This window comes from Homo sapiens, chromosome 2 (genome assembly GCF_000001405.40).
Source record: "Homo sapiens chromosome 2, GRCh38.p14 Primary Assembly".
NCBI classification, from domain to species: domain Eukaryota; kingdom Metazoa; phylum Chordata; class Mammalia; order Primates; family Hominidae; genus Homo; species Homo sapiens.
The window spans coordinates 102309635-102328018 of NC_000002.12; the positions used below are offsets into that span (position 1 = coordinate 102309635).

The window sequence follows — 18384 nt, forward strand, 5'->3', positions numbered from 1 at the left end:
GTCTCATCTTCTCTTGCACCTCTCACAGTGCCTGACACAATATTGGGGACATTGATAAGTATTGTTTTGTGTATTACTTAGGCATATTTTCTGTGGTTCTCTAGCAGTGGAGAATAAATGATTGATGATCTTATGAAGTCATAGTCCACCTAAAGACTGCGTAGTACGCAAATGAGTCTACCATTATCTCCTCGATGTAGATTTTCATCTTTTATGTATGGTGACTCTAGGTAAGGAGAAGAGGTGATCTAGCTCACTTGGTGGGACGAGCGTCTTGACACAAATCCACAAAAAAAGGAGAGTACACACAGCTGTTCATTTGTCTGTGTGTTGAGGTGGGGGTGGGGGAGGTGAGGTTGTATTCACACAGAGAAGACATCTTAGCTCTGCACCCAAACCAAAACGAGCGTCAGTGATGTTAAAGATTGAAGGTCAGGTGCTACCCAGGTTTTGTTAGTCTCTTGACATAAACATGGTGTCTAGATATGGTACATATTATGAATCATTCCATCTTTTCAAATACATTTTGAAGGGTTTTTTTGTTTGTTTGTTTGTTTTTGAGACAGAGTTTCGCTGTGTCACCAAGGCTGGAGCACCGTGGTGCAGTCTTGGCTCACTGCAACCTTTGACTCCCGGGTTCAAGCAATTCTCGTGCCTCAGCCTCCTGAGTAGCTTGGATTAGAGGTGTGCACCATCACACGCAGCAAATTTTTGTATTTTAGTAGAGACGGGGTTTCACCATGTTGGCCAGGATGTTGGGATTACAGGCGTGAGCTACCATGCCCTGCCAGAAGGTTTGTTTTTATTTTAAACACAATTGTGCTGGGTGTGATAGGATGGGTATATGATAGAGCAGAAAATCACTAGTATTTCATCAATATGGATAGCATCCTCCATAGGTTACTGATTTAATATTGACAACAATACCCTTCACACGAGAGAGAGGTTAGAGAATTTGCCCAAAGTCAAGCAGCTGGGAAGAGGAAAACTAGGCTGTGCTCTCCCTAAATCTCATGCTCTATTATATTAGGGAAGACTCTGGCAGATGGCACATCCTGATTATTTGAAAGTCACCAATATTTTTAGAAATTGCATAGATAATTAAGGTTAGTTTATCCAGAATTCTAATAATTGCAGCACATGTCCATAAATCTCTATTACAACCACCTGAGATAGGCCATCTCGGGCATGTGGAAAAAGCCCAGGTATAGACACTTTGGATCCTGGATTTCCCTTGTACTGGCTGCTACCTTGGGTAAGGTAATTCTCCTCTCTGAAGCTCCTGTCAGCTTCTGAGGATTGCGTGGGATAGCACATACCAAATTACTGCACACAGAGCCTGGTGTACACTTAAGCACACGAGATGTGTCAAAGTTTTCAAAAACATTGCCAACGAGGCATCAGTTACAAAACTTGCTGCAGAGTGAGCTGATATTGTGCCACTGCACTCCAGCCTGGGTGACACAGTGAGGCTTTGCCTCAAAAAAAAAAAAAAAAAAAAAAGAAAGAAACACCAAATAAGCAACTTGCTGCAGAAATGGGTACTCTTGTTCTAGAAATGTGACTATAGGGAAGTTACAACTACCAACTCGCGTTAAGGGAAATGAGTGACCTGCCACCTACATGGTGTTAGGGAGGTTTTGCTGAGAAAGTCACTCATGAAGAAGGCAAAATATAGTTAAGACAAAATGTAACTATCTATAGAGATAAGGTAAAAATTGGAAATAGAACTTCATTAAAGATCTTTCAAATAGGGAGAATGTGGTGAAAACTGCAGTTAACATTTGTTAACAGTGTGATCATCGGGTTCAGCTTATCAGTAACCTGGTTCCTGTCTCTTAACTGATAAAGAAAATGGGAGGTTTTTAAAGAGAGGCTGGCTGTTGTATTTAGTAAAGCTATAAAGCTGTAAGAGAAATTGGCTTTCTGAGTTGTGAAACTGTGGGCAGAAAGTTGAGGAAGAAAGAACTCAAGTACAACCCAATGAGGGTAAGTGGCTTTGGGGTATTTTTCAAAAATACTTTTATCTCAAAGGGAACAAAATTTTCACATACGAATTTAGGTCATTATAACAATAATATTCATTGTTATATTATTATAACATTATATGTTATAATAATATATAATATATATAATATATAATTGTTATAACATTATAACAATTATATATTATATATAATACAATTATATAATATATATTATATAATTGTAATATATAATATAATTATATAATATATATTATATAATATAATATATAATATATCATATATGTTATATATTTTATTATATAATATATATTATATATAATATTATATATAATATATATTATATATAATATTATATATAATATATATTATATATAATATATTTATATATATTATATATAATATATATTATATATTAAATATTATATATATAATATATATAACATTATTGTTATAATGTTATAACATTATTATATATTAAATATAATATATATAATATTATATTTATATTGAGGAAAACATTCACTCAATGACAGAGGGAAGACTTAGCTTTCCAAACAATCTTCTGTTAAAAGAAAAACTTTAGCTGAATTAAATTTAAAGGAGTTTAATTGTGTTTTGGTGCCTTATGCAAATGAAGGGCCTATAATATAATATATAATGTAATATATATAACATTATAACAATAATAATCATTGTTATCAATTTTGCTTGTGAGAAAAGTAGTATTACCAATGGGAAAATCATGGTACAGATTGATGAAATCCCTTGAAATCTTGTTTGTGTAATATGGGACTTTGGTCCAACGTGTTGGAAAAGACCTGGTTGAGGGTAAGAAAGGATGGGAGCTTTATAGTATACACACAGAGTGCTCATATTCTGGAGTTATTCTTTCTGAAATCCACAAAATCCAGCAGTGTAATCTACTCAGATGGAGATGAAGGAAAAAAACAAAACAAATGAAGCAAGAAGCTGCTGGCCAAAAGGGGTGAGGAAGCAGGGTCATACCCATCTGCAAGAAGAAAATAGAGAACGGACATGAGAGGGGTGGATATGAGGATATGAGAAGGCCCTCTTGAGTGAGGGCCATTGTTTCTGGAGGGGTGGGGAGTGAATGACTGATGTAAGTTCAAGTTTGTTGCGGGTGCCTGCTTTGATCCTCTGCTTGGTGGCTCCATTCTTCTTCTCTCTGAAGGCTACTTCAACAGAGGGTGCAGAGGTAAACATAGCAGAACTGGCCCCCAAAGCTTTATCCACTGAATGTCAGTTTTTCCTTTAATTTCTTCCAGGCATAAGGAAATCGGAGGCATGTTTCTGTCTGGCTATAACAGTTCTCCTACTAGATCCTGAGGCCAAACTATTCACATGCCATTGTTCCTGAATACCATTGTGGACATAATCATCTAATTTTGGCTATTCCATGCAGAGGTTTGGAGACAGAAAGCTCTGGACTAATGCAGATCTGCATTTAATCCCTGCTCTTACACTTACTTGTTGCATGACCTTAAGCAACTCATCTATGTCTTTAAATCTTGAGTTTCTTGCTTACAAAGAGGTGACCAGCATATTAGTAATAATATCATGTTTAGAGGGTGGTTTCTGAAGGTTAAATGGGTGTAAGTGTTTAGTGCATTACTCAGCCAGCAGTCAACACTTAATGATGTCAGACCTCATCATTGTCCTTATTTTTTTTGTTCCACACTCTGGGAACTTTTATCTCTGCGCCCTGTAGATATGCTGCTGTGACTGCTGACTTGAATGTTACGGGATCCCCAGCAGGATCTGGGATTCTCTCTGTTCTTGAATGCGTTGTTTAGGTGAGGAGATTGATTCCAAGTTACTTTTCTACTTGGGTGCCTCTGTGTTTGGAGATGTGGCCGCATAGCTCAAGTGTATCTGGGGTGTCTTCAGTTTTCGGATACCTGTTTTTCCTCTAGGAGAATTCTTCCTCTATGTCCTTTAAAATATTTGTCCTATAATCACAAGGGTTTATATTTCTCTGCCCACTCCTCCATACTTCCTGGTTTTCTGGGAGTGCAGAGGCAGACAACTGCAAGGGAGAGCCCCGCAAGGATTTGGGTGATGACTTTGAGCCAGGCTGACATCCATGTCCAAGGGCAAATGCAGTCTGGTTGGGAGGATACAATGCAGGAGTCTTACAACAGTGGCGATGCCAACATTGTGGGAGCATGCATGTGTGTGTGCACGAGTGTGTGTGTGTGCGTGCACTTGCATGCGCGTGCATGTGCAGTAGGGTCCTACTACAGGTTGGTGGAAAAGATCCCTCTGGTTCTAGAACAAAAATCTAACAGCAACCAAGAGTCCAGTTCCAAGAAAGAGAAAGGAAAGGGCTAGTTAGGCAGGGCGTCTGGATTCTGAATAGGGGCTGAGGCCTTGGCTCAGACACAGAGGAGAATGGAGAAATGGGGTGATGACAGAGACATCTTTAAAATATTTGTGGGCCAAGGGTAGGATGGCTTCAACTTGTCTGGGATGTATTTGTCCTTAGCACGCTTGGAATAACATAGCAGCAGCAGCAGCAGTCGACACTTACTAAGACTGCTATGTGCCAGACCCTGAGACAAGCACTTTCCACACACCACATCCTGCCATTCTTATGATGATAGTGCTGTGAAGTAGGGATGAAACCAAGTCCTTGCTGACTCCAATCTTGTACTTCCAACCAATGCTTGTGAGGGCCCCAGGCCCCCTACAGCAAGACTAAACATGGACATATGTGTGGCTGGGCTGAGTCTGTGGGATTGGCTCTGGAGTTGGGTGTGTCTGAGCCCTGGGTAGAAAGGGATGCTATCCTAATGAAAAAACACAGAATAAAGATAGTGTCCACCAAGATGTAACTGAGATTTAAAGAAGACTTGATAACTTATCAGTTGGGTGGGTAGTCTTGAATTTCAACAACTGCAGATCCTATCTAAGACCACTTTTGTCTTGTGACAACTTAGTTAAACATGACTTTAGTGTGGATATCAGTGGCCAATTTTGAGCCCATTCTATGATTGGAACAAAGGCTTCCCTGTCATAGGTGAGTGACAACTATCTGGTCTGGTGGTACAGGGGTAAAAGAATTTACTAAGACAGTTGTAGATAAAGAAAGGCAGATTTATTAGAGAAAGTATGAAAATACATTACAAGGTTGCAATGGGCAGCACAGCCAGAGAGGAGCTGACTGCAAAGAAACAAAGGCTTGCTGGATATTTATAGGATAGTTCCTGGGCTCCAGGGGGCTATATGCAGTACTGATAATGCCAAGGTTGTAGTGAGCTAACTTGCAGGTGTCTGGTGATAGTTGGGTGCTGGAAGATTCTGAGTTATTTGCTCAGAAGAGCTGTGTGTCCTGGGCCATGAAGAAAGGCAAACTTACAGTTTATCTGCTTTCTGTCTTTGCTTTCCCTTGGTACTGCTAGTCTGACTTTTTTTTCCCTAATTAGGATTCCGCACATCCTATGCCTGTCTCTCAGGAGCCTTGCAGTCAAAGTGTGATGGAGTGTCTGAGGGCCGAGTCATTGAGTAATGGGGCCTCTGCCCTCTCAGCCCCACTGCCACCCAACTGAGGCTTCCTGGATGAGGGTGTATGCCGTGGGGAAAAGGAGTGGGATGATGTGGATCCCCCTGGGGTTGCAGGTCATCCTCCCAAATCCCCACTCTCCCTGTCTACCCACAGGACCAGTCAGCATTTCTCTAATTCCTCTTCACTCTGGGGCATTATGATCAGAAAATATCATGTACCTTTTGCTGCAATCTTGGCTGAAAGAACCTCACACTATACTTGAATGTCTTTGATTTACCATCTGAGCAGAGATCTCAAACTATAAAGAAAATCAGAGTCTCTTGATGCCCATGTTCAGGACAAGTTTTCTTGGATTTCATGACTCTTTAGGAACAGTGAGCTTATGGGTAAAGACCGAGACTTTAGTGAGGAATTCCCTCATCATTTTTCTCTTCTTGAGCAAAACCTTGTCTGATTTGGGGTTGTAATGTGCAAAATTATTTTCTTTTCATTTCACCTTTTTTTCTTAAGTAGTGGTTTCTGGAAATCTGAGCTGCTTTGTGCACCCTGACTAGTCTGTGCCAGATCACGAACGTACACACCAACTCTCAAGACACCAGAAAAATCACCCTTTAGAGGAATTATCTAGAAAACTAGCCCCTATGCAAAGTGAATAACCTTTTCAAAATATAATCTACATTAAGACTTTTGAAACTAACACATTCCTCAATCATAGCAACCAAATGAATTACTTAAAGTGGGTTTGGTTCCTGCTTTCATTAAGGGAGTATTTTCAGGAAATTAGAGGTCTAATGTAAACATGGATCCTTTAGGTTTTTCCATTTTCTTTGTCTTCAGGCTGTTTGCTGCCACTTTCATCCTCCCCTTATCTCAGTCTGCCAGTGATGGTTTGTGCCTCTGGTCGCTGGGTCAGATCCAGGACTAATTCACTCACCTCTGATTTCTAGTTCCACCCTTATGACGAAAGCATTCTTAAATCTGATATTCACATAAAAAAGGATTTGATTGTCTTTGGCATGTCTCTGCAGTTAGTTAATCATGTCTTGAGCACAGAAAAATGGGAAGAAAATGGAAATAAGATTTCTTTGATAGGAGGAGTCCTGCTAAGACTTGTCTGTCCCTGAGCTGAGATATGCTAATTTACCTTAAATCTTTCCATAAACCACATTCTGAATTCCAGTTTATAAATCTTTATCTTATTTCCCGAACCTCATCTCATACTTTTTATGTAATCTGGTGGGCATAGATATTCTCTTGGTGAACCTGAGGAAATCTAGAATGACAAAGGATCTAAAATAAGTAACACAGTTGCTCAAGTTCCTGGGCCCTATGGTAGAATTTCCTTCTTCAGAGAAGGGGAGAACAAGGTAGATAAAGAAAGGAGCATTTCATCTTGCAGCAGCTTGGAAGATAGCTGGGAGTTTAATTTTTATAAAAAAGAAAGCAATCAAACCATCCAATACAGCCCATTTTCAACCAAAAGTATTTCAGAATTACCTGGAGATTTATCTAAAATTATGTAAAAATTACCTAGAATTACCTAAAAAAATTGTACAATTTCATTTCCCTTCTGTTACATGATATGGATACCCAGCTACTATTTATTAGTAGTAGATACAGACTATTTAAGAGACAAAATATTATATTCCAAAAAGTGTGACCCTTAGAAACCAAAATTCCAAAGAAGAGTTCTTGTAATTGGCAAGGCTGGCTCTGATTGAGTGTCAAACTTCCTGTACAATGATGGATCAACTTAGAAATTTGATAGATTCAAAGCATTCTGAAATTGTACAACTCGCTCAGCACTTGTATTATTTACATGTCTTCTGTTATTTTCCATTGAATGATGTTTTCATGTATACTCAGCTGCTTATAAGGGCAATATTTTAAAATCAGAGCAATTTCTTTAAAATTAAAATGTTTCAGCCCAGCATGGTGGCTCACGCCTGTAATTCCAGCACTTTGGGAGGCCGAGGCAGGTGGATCATGAGGTCAGGAGATCGAGACCATCCTGGCTAACACGGTGAAACCCCATCTCTAGTAAAAATACAAAAAATTAACTGGGCGTGGTGGTGGGCGCCTGTAGTCCCAGCTACTCGGGAGGCTGAGGCAGGAGAATGGCGTGAACCCAGGAGGTGGAGCTTGCAGTAAGCCCAGATGGCGCCACCGCACTCCAGCCTGGGTGACAGAGCCGGACTCTGTCTCAAAAAAAAAAGTTTCAGCAAAATACTTTTTAAAATGCACTGTAATTACCCTAACAATATTACACTGTTACAGATAGTTTAAGAATAATAAAAAATGTAATTCATAAACTCACTCCTTTAATACAACAAACCTGATTAATGTTCTGTGTTCCTTATTAGACTTTCTCCCATGTATAGCTTTACAAAGTGGTAGTTGATGAGTAAGTACAATTTGTGATATTTTTTTCACGTGAGAACAAACTCAATATGTCAATTACTTCATAGATTTTTAATTTATAAAAATTTTCTCATATCTCTTATAAAAATAAAAAAAGATTTGATTTCAGTAAACACACATTTGGAGAGAAAGTTGATCCTCATATAAACTCAACCATAGACCATTCAGTGTGTTGCAAGTTATAAATGCCATGGAGGAAAAAAATCAAGCAGAGTTAGGAAGATTGGGAGCACAGGGTTAGTTGGTCAAAGGGTGGGAGAGGATAGACCTCATTAAGAAAGTGGCAGACCTCATTGAGAAAGTGAGGGAGTGAGTCACACAGACACCTGGAGGAAGAAAATGCAAGAGAGGGTAAACAGTTGCTGCAACACCCTGAGGTGGGAGCAGGCTCGGGAGGCCAAGCAACAGGAAGGACAAAAGTGCACGTGTTGTGTAGTTAAGATTGGGGGTGTAGCAGGATGTAAATCAGAGAGGTGAGAGGTGACAGACCCCCAGGGGGTCTTCTTGTTCATTGCAAGCAATTTGGCTTTTGTTGGGTAAAGCAGAGGTTTGAAGAGAGGAGTAATTTGAAAGGATCACTCTAGCTTCTGCTTTGAAAATCAATTATAGGGGACAAGGGAAGGATCAGTGCAAAGACTAGTGCAATAATTCAGGCAAGAGATGGTGGTGGCTTGGATCAGCAAAGATGGCCATGAGAAGTGGTCACATGGCTGAGTTCTGGCTGTATTTGGAAAGTAGGTTCACTGGGACTTATTGGTGGCTTGAGATTGATGTGCTGGAGAAAGAGAGGTATAAGGATACCTCCAAGGATTTTGATATGTGCAGCTGAAAAAAGATGAAGTTGCCATCAACCAAGATGAGAATGATGGTTGGAAGAGCAGATTTTGGGAGAAGAACAGGGATTCATTCTTGACAGGTTATTTTTGTGATGTCTGGAATATAGACAAGTGAAGGCATTGAGTCAGCAGGTGGACATGAGAACCTGAAGTTCAGGGGAAAAGTGTGGACGGCAGGTGTAACTGCAAGAGTGTAATCAGTATAGAGATGGTGTTTCAAACCAGTTAACTGGATGACATCATGTGGGGAGTGAGTGTGGACAGAGAAGAAAAGTGCTTCAAGGACTGAAACTTGAGGTGGTGGAGAGAAGAGGAGATGTGAAGCAGTAGCCTGTGGGTCCTGAAGAAAGATGTTGGAGAAATTGTTCCACTTTGACAGAGGCTGCTTATAGCTCAAGGTAAGGGGAAGACGCAGGACTGAGGATTCCTAAGCAACATGGTGGTAATTGACGATATTGATAACAGCATAAAGACATCATAATTTAAACTAATTATTAACAAAATTGAAATTTAAAGAAACAAGTAATGCAATGTTTCCAAAGTGGATTCAAATTCCATAATATTATTGCAAAACAAACAAACCAAACAAACAAGGAAAACAAAGAAAGAAGGGATTCTAACATAAAAGAATTTAAAAATAAGTAAATCAGCTCGGAAAACTCAGCAGGCTATATCTTCCTGGTGGTTAGAAATATCTGCTTATTAAAAGGTTTCAAAGGTCCTTTGGGAATAGAACTTATTGCAATGTGTTTGGCTGTACATTTCTTACACTTTTTTTTTTAACTGAGGAGTCAATTAAAATATCCTGAAGTGACTGTCCATAGAACACATTTTGAAAACACAAATGCTATATAATCACAAATATATCTCCCTCCCCTTTGCTAGTGATTGTTACCAAACTGCCTCTGCTAGCTAGGATTCAACTCTTTCTCTTAACAACTATGCTTTGATGGAACAATTTTTTTAGATACAAATATTGTCAATGAGAACAATTATTATACAGTGCAGTCACAGAAGAGAAACAGAAAAGAAAGGGAGGTGCAACAAAATGAAGGTAAATATTAGCCTTCACACTTAAATACATTTGATGAGGGGATAAAATGTACATGTAGGTGTGGATTTATGGGCTGTGTTTTTCAAACAATTACCAAATATTTATTAACCACCAACTCAGTGTAAGCTAGTACACTAGGTGCCTATAGTGATCCAGCAGGCTATAAGGCAGGATTTCTGCCCTTATAGAATTTTGGGGCATATTCTCAGTATCTTTTGTATCTCTCGCCCTCTTTTCTTTTTTTTGTGACACAAGATGTCATTCTGTCATCCAGGCTGTAGTGCAGTGACATGATCATGGCTCATTGCAGCCTTGACCTCCCAGGCTCAAGCGATCCTCTTGCCTCAGCCTCCCAAGAAGCTGGGACCATGGGCATGTGCCATCATGGCAGACTAATTTTTAAATTTTTTGTAGAGATGGGGACTTACTATGTTGCCCAGGCTAGTGTTGAACTCCTGGGCTCCAGCAGTCCTCCCACCTCAGCCTCCCAAAGTGCTGGGATTACTGGTGTGAACCATCACTCCCAGCCCTTTCTTTTGCTTTGTTATTTTAAAAACTTTTCTTTATTCTCTTTCTGTTACCTTTTAATAAACTATAAGAAGTCTTTCAAAACAAAAATGTCTTAATGTCAGTGGGTTAGGTTTTGTCCTGCATTATTTTCTTTTACCCCATGGTGGGGAAAAAAGCAAAAAACTGTTTGGTGCCTATACAATGCCTTATCGCACAGCTTTGGTTTGTGTTTACTCCAGTGTCGTCTTTAAGGTGGTGAGGTCAGTGCAGCTGGCCTGGGTCAGAACTCAGGGTCACTTCATGCCAGATGCTCACCACCTCTGCAGTGTTGTATGCAGAGATCCAAATTCATCCTTCAGGGAAGGATGAACACTTATTCTCTGGGATGTTTTACAGTGAAAATCAGAAGTTGCTCTATTGTGCCCTCATGGCCTAGCTACTTCCACTCTTTTGAAGATCTTACCTGGTCTCATGGGTTTAATTTCATCTATACAGTGACATATCCCAAATTTGTATCTCTAGCCCAATATGTCTCCTGAATTTCAGAAGCAGATATTCATCCTACTGATGGGTTCACATCTCCAGTTTTATGTCTAATGAGGTGTCAAGCTGAATATGGCCAAAACTAGTGTAATCCTACTCTAAAACCTATACCACCTGCCATTTCCTAATTCAGTAACTAGCAACCCTATTTGACCAGTTACTCAGGGCCCCAAACCTCTCTTGACTGCTCTCATATCCTGTCCATCAAGAAGTCCTACTAGTTCTACCCTCAAAATCTATCTGCATCCCAATCATGTCTCACCACCTGCACTTCCCCGCCCTGGTCATAGCCACCGTCTCTGTCTCACCTGGATACCTCATCCCTTGCCATTCTTAAGAGTGTTTTCACATTCAGAGTGTTTAATACCTACGTCAAGTTTGAGGTCATGTCACTCCTTAGCTTGAAACACTCCAGTGGTCTTCATCACACTTAATAAAAGCCAAGGTGCTCAGGGTGACTCACTCGCAATCTAGTCTCTACCCCTCTCCAACCAGCTCTCACTGCTCTGGAGTTCCTCATGCCCTGTTGGCCATGTGGCTTCCCTACTGGCCCTCGGACACACCAGGCTTGCCTCCATGGCTGGACTTTCATGCTGCCTGCCCTTTCGACCTGGGCTGTTTATTAAATGTCTCCTTCCTAGTTGGCCTTCCCAGGACATCTGGCCTGAAATTGCTCTCCTCCTGCTGTATTTTTCTCCTTAAGTGGATCACACTCTAAGATCTTTTGTAACTTTTTTTTATTTCTTTATGTTACTTATTGTCCTCCTGTAGGACATGAATTCCACAAGGGCAGGAGATTTTTGTTTCCCTTTGCTCTGTGTGGTGCATTGCTGTATCCCCAGCATCTGAAACAGTGATTGGCATGAAAGAATAACCCTCACTGGTTGTCTGGGTTCAGTATTTTGCTTTTCTAAGCTCAGTTGATGCAGAACAACTGGTTTTCTGGGTTCAGTATTTGCTTTTCTAAGCCCAGTTGATGCAGTGTTGGTATGTGCGGCCATGTTAGATGTTAGAACACTGACATCCTTACCACTGATGAGTCAATAGCCACTGCCCCCGACCCTCCTGATATTTTATGGTCCGAGTAATTACTAGATGCATCTACATTTAAGGCTGCAAACATGAATTTACTGGAGGAAGCACAGTGGTGGTGGATGACCCAATCTCTCTCTCAAACTTACCAAAATCACCAAGGAATCATAAATCCACCCCTCTTTGCATCTTCCAAGCAAAGGAAATTGTAGAAAACACAAGTGAAACTGTTTCACAGAGATATCAGCAATACATAGCAAATTTGAGATGATGGAGATTAAGAGGAAAATTAAATCATTCTTAAGTGGTCAAGGTAAAAACATTATTGTGCGGTTCGCTATAGTTACATTTAAAACAGTCCGAAGTCAAACAACTCTAGTCTGATTAGTCTTGTCATTGATATGTGCTGTCTTAGAATTCTCCAGAGAGACAGAGCTAATAGGAGATTATCTATCTATGTATCTATGTATCTACCTAATCTATCTATACTCTCTCTATCTATTTTAAGGAACTGACTCATGAGATTGTGGGGCCTGGCAGTCTAAAAGCTACAAGGCAGGCTGGCAGACTGGAAATTCAGATAAGAGTTGGTGTTGTAGTCTTGACTCTGAATTCCATAAGGCAGCCAGTCGGAATTTCAGGCGGGGTTTCTGTGTTGCAGTCTTGAGGCAGAATTCCTTCTTCTTTGGGAAACCTCAGTCTTTGCTCTTCAGGCCTTCTGCTGCTCACATTCCACAGTGCTGTCCTTCTGGCCATCCTTCATGCTTTTGTGTTGCCTGTCCCATTGCCCTTAATCTTATATGGAAAAATGGAAATAAATTCAGAGCGGAAACTTATCTAAAAGTTTTGAGGGAAAAATGATCGAAACCAGAATTATTCACAGGACAACTTGTTCTATGAATAATTTTTGAAAAGGAACCATTTCCTCTACAGCTGGCTTATTATGAGGAGCTTGATGATAAAATATTGGCAAGGCCTCCAGTGGACATTTATCGTGTTGTGACAGATCCCAGAAATGAATCTGGGTCTCCCGACTTCAATACAGTTCTCTTCTTATTACATAATGAGAGAATATGATTTTCTACTCTTTTCTTTTACTTTACTTGTTGAGAAACAACTAATATTCAATTAAAAGCATCAATCTTACATATTCAGTTGAATGAGATTCAGCAATCATATCCCCCATGTATCATCATCCATATCACCATCCCAACAGCACAGAAAGCATTTCTTCTTCCCAGAGAGTTGCCCTCACACCTTTCCAATCAAATTTCCACATACTCTCTAGTTTCCAGCATGATAGATTATAATTTGCCTATTGTTGGGCTTCCTATAGGTATGATATGTAATATGTAGTCTTCTGTGTTTAGTTTCTTTTGCTTAGCATAATTTTTCAGGAGCAAGGCTTTATTATTTTTTTGTTTGGAAATGAACTCAGAGTTACATAACATGATGTTTTTGACAGTCATCCTATGGTTATATCAGTATTTCCTTCCTTTTCATTGCTGAGTAGTTTACATTAAAAAAAGGATCCATTCTCCTGTTGATAGACATTTGGATTATGTTTAATTTTTGGTATTATGAGTATGGCATTTATGAACATTCTTTTACAAGTGTTTTGTGGATATGTTTGTTAATTCTCTTGGGTAAGGGGGGAGTTATTGAGCCATACAGTAGATGTTCTTTAACTTTTTGTTAGGTTTTATATATATATATATATATATATATAGTGTGTGTGTGTGTGTGTGTGTATATATATATGGTGTATATAATTTATATACACTAAAATACACACATTTTTAAGTGTAAAGTTCAATAAGTTTTGATACATGTATACTCCATTGGCTTTGTTTTGTATTGCTATAAAATAATACCTGAGGCTGGGTAATTTATTAAGAAAAAGTTTATTTGGCTCATGATTTTAATGGCTGCAAAGTTCAAGACTGGGCAACTGCATCTGGTGAGGGCCTCAGGCTGCTTCCAATCCTGGTGGAAGGTTAAGGGGAGGTGGCTTGTGCAGAGATCACATGGGAGAGAAGAAGCAAGGGGTGGGGGAGTGCTAAGTTCTTTTTAACAGCCAGCTCCCATGGGAAGTAATAGAGTGAGAACTCACCACCAAGGGAGGGGATTGAAGGAGGGAATTAATCTATTCATGAGGGATCCACCCCCATGACCCAAATGCTCCCCCTTAAGCCCCACCTTCAATATTGGGGATCAAATTTCAACATGAGGTGAGGAGGGTACAAATATCCATGCATACCACCTCTGAAACCATCATCTCAATTGACATATTCCACAAATCTCTCTCATACTCCTTTATAAGTAATTGCTACCCTTCATCTTCCATTCTAGGTACCCACTCACTGGCCTTGCAGTTTGGGAACATTATATAAATGGGACGATATAATATGCATTCTTTTAAAACTGGCTTCTTTCATTCAGTATGTTTCTAAGATTCATCAGTAGTTCTTTTTTTTTTTTTTGCTGAGTAGTGTTCCATTGTATGAATATAGAATAGTTTAGCCATATATGTGCTGACGGTCATTGGTCTTGTTTCCAGTATTTGGCTATATGAATTGAACTGGTATGAACATTTGTGTACAAGTCTTTTTGTGTGCATAAGTTTTTATTTCTCTTAGGTAAATCCCCAGGAAGAGAATTTCTGGAGTGTAACACAAGCACATAATCAGAAACTGCCAAACTATGTTCACTGTATCATGTTACACTCCATCAATGATGCATGAGAGTTCTAGGTGTGCCACATCCTTGCCAAAATTTGGTATTGTCAGTCTTTTTTATTAGCTATGAAATAGAATCTCGATATTGTGGAGCCAAGATGGCCAAATAGGAACAGCTACAGTCTACAGCTCCCAGCGTGAGCGACACAGAAGACAGGTGATTTCTGCATTTCCAACTGAGGTACTGGGTTCATCTCACTGGGGCGTGTCGGATAGTGGGTGCAGGACAGTGGGTGCAGAGCACTGAGCGTGAGCCAAAGCAGGGCGAGGCATCGCTTCACCCAGGAAGTGCAAGGGGTCAGGGAATTCCCTTTCCTAGTCAAAGAAAGGGGTGACAGATGGCACCTGGAAAATCGGGTCACTCCCACCCTAATACTGTGCTTTTCCAATGGTCTTAGCAAATGGCACACCAGGAGATTATATCCTGCACCTGGCTTGGAGGGTCCTACACCCGTGGAGCCTCGCTCGTTGCTAGCAGAGCAGTCTGAGATCAAACTGCAAGTTGGCAGCGAGGCTGTGGGAGGCGTGCCCACCATTGCTGAGGCTTGAGTGGGTAAACAAAGCAGCCGGGAAGCTCGAACTGGGTAGAGCCCACTGCAGCTCAAGGAGGCCTGCCTGCCTCTGTAGACTGCACCTCTGGGGGCAGGGCATAGCTAAACAAAAGGCAGCAGAAACCTCTGCAGACTTAAATGAACCTGTCTGACAGCTTTGAAGAGAGTAGTGGTTCTCCCAGCACGCAGCTGGAGATCTGAGAACGGACAGACTGCCTCCTCAAGTAGGTCCCTGACCCCCGAGTAGCCTAACTGGGAGGCACCCCCCAGTAGGGGGCAGTCTGACACCTCACACAGCTGGGTACTCCTCTGAGACAAAACTTCCAGAGGAACGATCAGGCAGCAACATTTGCTGTTCACCAATATCCGCTGTTCTGCAGCCTCTGCTGCTGATACCCAGGCAAACAGGGTCTGGAGTGGAACTCCAGCAAACTCCAACAGATCTGCAGCTGAGGGTCCTGACAGTTAGAAGGAAAACTAACAAACAGAAACGACATCCACACCAAAACCCCATCTGTATGTCATCATCATCAAAGACCAAAGGTAGATAAAACCACAAAGATGGGGAAAAAACAGAGCAGAAAAACTGGAAACTCTAAAAATCAGAGCACCCCTCCTCCTCCAGAGGAACACAGCTCCTCACCAGCAATGGAACAAAGCTGGATGGAGAATGACTTTGACGAGTTGAGAGAAGAAGGCTTCAGATGATCAAACTACACCGAGCTAAAGGAGGAAGTTCGAACCCATGGCAAAGAAGTTAAAAACCTTGAAAAAAAATTAGATGAATGGCTAACTAGAATAACCAATGCAGAGAAGTCCTTAAAGGACCTGATGGAGCTGAAAACCATGGCACGAGAACTACGTGATGAATGCGCAAGCCTCAGTAGCCGATTTGATCAACTGGAAGAAAGGGTATCAGTGACGGAAGATCAAATGAATGAAACGAAGTGAGAAGAGAAGTTTAGAGAAAGTAGAATAAAAGGAAACGAACAAAGTCTCCAAGAAATATGGGACTATGTGAAAAGACCAAATCTACATCTGATTGGTATACCTGAAAGTGACAGGTAGAATGGAACCAAGTTGGAAAACACTCTGCAGGGTATTATCCAGGAGAACTTCCCCAATCTAGCAAGGCAGGCCAACATTCAAATTCAGGAAATACAGAGAACACCACAAAGATACTCCTTGAGAAGAGCAACTCCAAGACACATAATTGTCAGATTCACCAAAGTTGAAATGAAGGCAAAAATGTTAAGGGCAGCCAGAGAGAAAGGTCGGGTTACCCACAAGGGGAAGCCCATCAGACTAAAAGCTGATCTCTTGGCAGAAACTCTACAAGCCAGAAGAGAGTGGGGGCCAATATTCAACATTCTTAAAGAAAAGAATTTTCAACCCAGAATTTCATATCTAGCCAAACTAAGCTTCATAAGTGAAGGAGAAATAAAATACTTTACAGACAAGCAAATGCTGAGAGATTTTGTCACCACCAGGCCTGCCCTACAAGAGCTCCTGAAGGAAGCACTAAACATGGAAAGGAACAACCGGTACCAGCCACTGCAAAAACATGCCAAATTGTAAAGACCATCAAGGCTAGGAAGAAAATGCATCAACTAACGAGCAAAATAAATAGCAAACATCATAATGATAGGATCAAATTCACACATAACAATATTAACCTTAAATGTAAATGGGCTAAGTGCTCCAATTAAAAGACACAGACTGGCAAATTGGATAAAGAGTCAAGACCCATCAGTGTGTTATATTCAGGAAACCCATCTCACATGCCGGGACACACATAGACTCAAAATAAAGGGATGGCGGAAGATCTACCAAGCAAATGGAAAACAAAAAAAAGGCAGGGGTTGCAATCCTAGTCTCTGATAAAACAGACTTTAAACCAACAAAGATCAAAAGAGACACAGAAGGCCATTAAATAATGGTAAAGGGATCAATTCAACAAGAAGAGCTAACTATCCTAAATATATATGCACCCAATACAGGAGCACCCAGATTCATAAAGCAAGTCCTTAGAGATCTACAAAGAGACTTAGACTCCCACACAATAATAATGGGAGACTTTAACACCCCACTGGAAACATTAGACAGATCAACGAGACAGAAAGTTAACAAGGATATCCAGGAGTTGAACTCAGCTCTGCACCAAGCAGACCTAATAGACATCTACAGAACTCTCCACCCAAAATCAACAGAATATACATTTTTTTCAGCACCACACCACACCTATTCCAAAATTGACCACATAGTTGGAAATAAAGCACTCCTCAGCAAATGTAAAAGAACAGAAATTATAACAAACTCTCTCTTAGACCACAGTGCAATCAAACTAGAACTCAGGATTAAGAAACTTACTCAAAACCGCTCAACTACATGGAAACTGAACAACCTGCTCCTGAATGACTACTGGGTACATAACGAAATGAAGGCAGAAATAAAGATGTTCTTTGAAACCAACGAGAACAAAGACACAACATACCAGAATCTCTGGGACATATTTAAAGCAGTGTGTACAGGGAAATTTATAGCACTAAAAGCCCACAAGAGAAAGCAGGAAAGATCTAAAATTGACACACTAACATCACAATTAAAAGAACTAGAGAAGCAAGAGCAAACACATTCAAAAGTTAGCAGAAGGCAAGAAATAACTAAGATCAGAGCAGAACTGGAGGAAATAGAGACACAAAAAACCCTTCAAAAAATCAATGAATACAGGAGCTGGTTTTTTGAAAAGATCAACAAAATTGATAGACCGCTAGCAAGACTAATAAAGAAGAAAAGGGAGAAGAATCAAATAGACGCAATAAAAAATGACAAAGGCGATATCACCACCGATCCCACAGAAATACAAACTACCATCAGAGAATACTATAAACACCTCTATGCAAATAAACTAGAAAATCTACAAGAAATGGATAAATTCCTGTTCACATACACTCTCCCAAGACTAAACCAGGAAGAACTTGAATCTCTGAATAGACCAATAACAGGCTCTGAAATTGAGGCAATAATTAATAGCTTACCAACCAAAAAAAGTCCAGGACCAGATGGATTCACAGCCGAATTCTACCAGAGGTACAAGGAGGAGCTGTTACCATTCCTTCTGAAACTATTCCAATCAATAGAAAAAGAGGGAATCCTCCCTAACGCATTTTATGAGGCCAGCATCA

The 18384-nt window shown here is 40.3% G+C and overlaps 1 protein-coding gene across 3 annotated transcripts in view; it reads left to right on the forward strand.

Annotated features, from left to right (window-relative positions):
• The first annotated feature begins 1928 nt into the window (after window positions 1-1928).
• Window positions 1929-18384, forward strand: part of IL1RL1 (interleukin 1 receptor like 1) — a 40794-nt gene continuing 24338 nt past the window's right edge. For all 3 annotated transcript variants that reach the window (NM_016232.5, XM_011512151.2, NM_001282408.2), the window contains exon 1: window positions 1929-1989. The gene's annotated coding sequence lies outside the window, so the exon portion shown is untranslated. The remainder of the gene's footprint in view (window positions 1990-18384) is intronic.